General features: G+C 42.1%; 1 annotated feature.

The window, feature by feature from the left end:
- Positions 625-846: a silencer, noted in NCBI's record as "fragment chr16:70121188-70121409 (GRCh37/hg19 assembly coordinates)". NCBI's record gives its function as "represses an EF-1alpha promoter that drives an FKBP-Casp9 reporter gene in an ReSE screen in K562 erythroleukemia cells {active_cell/tissue: K562}" and the evidence as "EXISTENCE:reporter gene assay evidence [ECO:0000049][PMID:32094911]".

Below are 1,820 nucleotides of genomic sequence, written 5' to 3' on the forward strand. Positions count from 1 at the left end.
AGATTGAAAGACTAGGGTCTGGAACAGACAGAAATTCCACACATACTTTTCTGGGCTTGGAAAACTTGGTGGAGTGGGCCTGGCATGGTGTGGCTCATGCTGGTAATCCCAGCACTTTGGGAGGCTGAGGTGTGTGGATCCCTTGAGCCTAGGAGTGCGAGACCAGCCTGGGCAACATGGTGAAACCCCGTCTCTACAAAATACACAAAAATTAACCAGGTGTAGTGGCATGCACCTGTAGTCCCAACTACTAGGGAGGCTGAGGTGAGAGGGTCACTTGAGGCTGGGAGGTTGAGGCTTCAGTGAACTGAGATTGTACCACTGCACTCTAGCCTGGGTGACAGAGCGAGACCCTGTCTCAAGAAAAACAAGAATACTTGGTGGAGTGATTTAAATCCTGTTTTTCCATTAGGATTAGATCTTTCCACCAGAATTTCCTGAATTTATTCCTTTTTTCTAGTTTATCCTAATGTGAATGAACTAATTTAAACTGAAGTTGCCTTCCTGTAGCCAAGAATCTACATATCTGCAAACTTATTCCTGAAGTTGAGGCTTTAATAGAACACTTCTTTTGTATTTTTTTCTTATTTTTGAGATTGATTTATTTTGGGATTGGGGCAATGCAGAATTAACACTCTTCTAGAAGTATGCAATAATTATTATTACAATTATAGATTATATTTATTACATACTTACTACTAGCATTGTGCTAGGTGCTTTAAGTATTTTGCTCCACTTAGGCTTACAAATGTTAAATAATGGCCGGGCGCTGTGGCTCACACCTGTAATCCCTGCACTTTGGGAGGCCGAGGTGGGAGGGTCACAAGTTCAAGAGATTGAGACCATCCTGGCCCAAATGTCGAAACCCTGTCTCTACTATAAAGTACAAAAATTAGCTGGGCGTGGTGGCACGTGCCTGTAATCGTAAGACTAAGTAAGGCAAGAGGGTCGCTTAAACCTGGGAGGCAGAGGTTGCAGTGAGCCGTGATCAAGCTATTGCACTCCAGCCTGGGCGACACAGTGAGACTCCATTTCAAAAAACCAACCAACCAAACAACAACAAAAAACAAAATTAGCCAGGCGTGGTGGCGCATGCCTGAAGCAGGAGAATCGCGTGAACCTGGGAGGCGGAGGTTGTGGTGAGCCGAGATTGTGCCATTGCAGTCCAGCCTGGGCAACAAGAGTGAAACTCTGTCTCAAAACAACAAAACAAAACAAAACAAATACGTGTTAAATAATTTTTCCAAGATCTTGCAGCTAGTACCTGGAAGAGCCCAAATTTGTTCCCAGATCTCTTTCCAAAATTTATGCTGCATAGCCAAACCTATAGATTGTGTAGTAATGAATGCTTAGAAATACTTAGGAGTCGTCTTTGTTTTTCCATTAATGGAGATGAACATTCCTTATTAGGGAGGTAATACATTTTCAACCATTGACATACCTATGAGATGTTTTAAAACAGTAATTCTAAAAGGATCTGCATCTGTTCTGCCCATCTCCTTTCACTTCTACAAGCCATTTCTATAACAATATTTTCCCTTCCTTGGAAAGGTAGTCATCTGTTTTTCTGGAATCATATTAGATTTGCAATCAACTGGAGTCAAGCTGTCTTGCTTTTTATCCCATCTCCCCCCTATTCTCACTGAAGCACAGGGAATTAGAATTTGTTCAGGTCGTGTGGTGATCACTGGCTCAGGTGGAGTACCATCAGCAGGATTCTCCCGGTCTTTTGTACTTTGTACTTTGTTTTCAAAATCAGTTAATTTCATAACAGAAAATGAGCACTTTAAAAGGCACAGATGTGATTTGGAGATTATGGG

The sequence above is a fragment of the Homo sapiens genome, chromosome 16 (assembly GCF_000001405.40).
Source record: "Homo sapiens chromosome 16, GRCh38.p14 Primary Assembly".
Classification (NCBI taxonomy): Eukaryota; Metazoa; Chordata; class Mammalia; order Primates; family Hominidae; genus Homo; species Homo sapiens.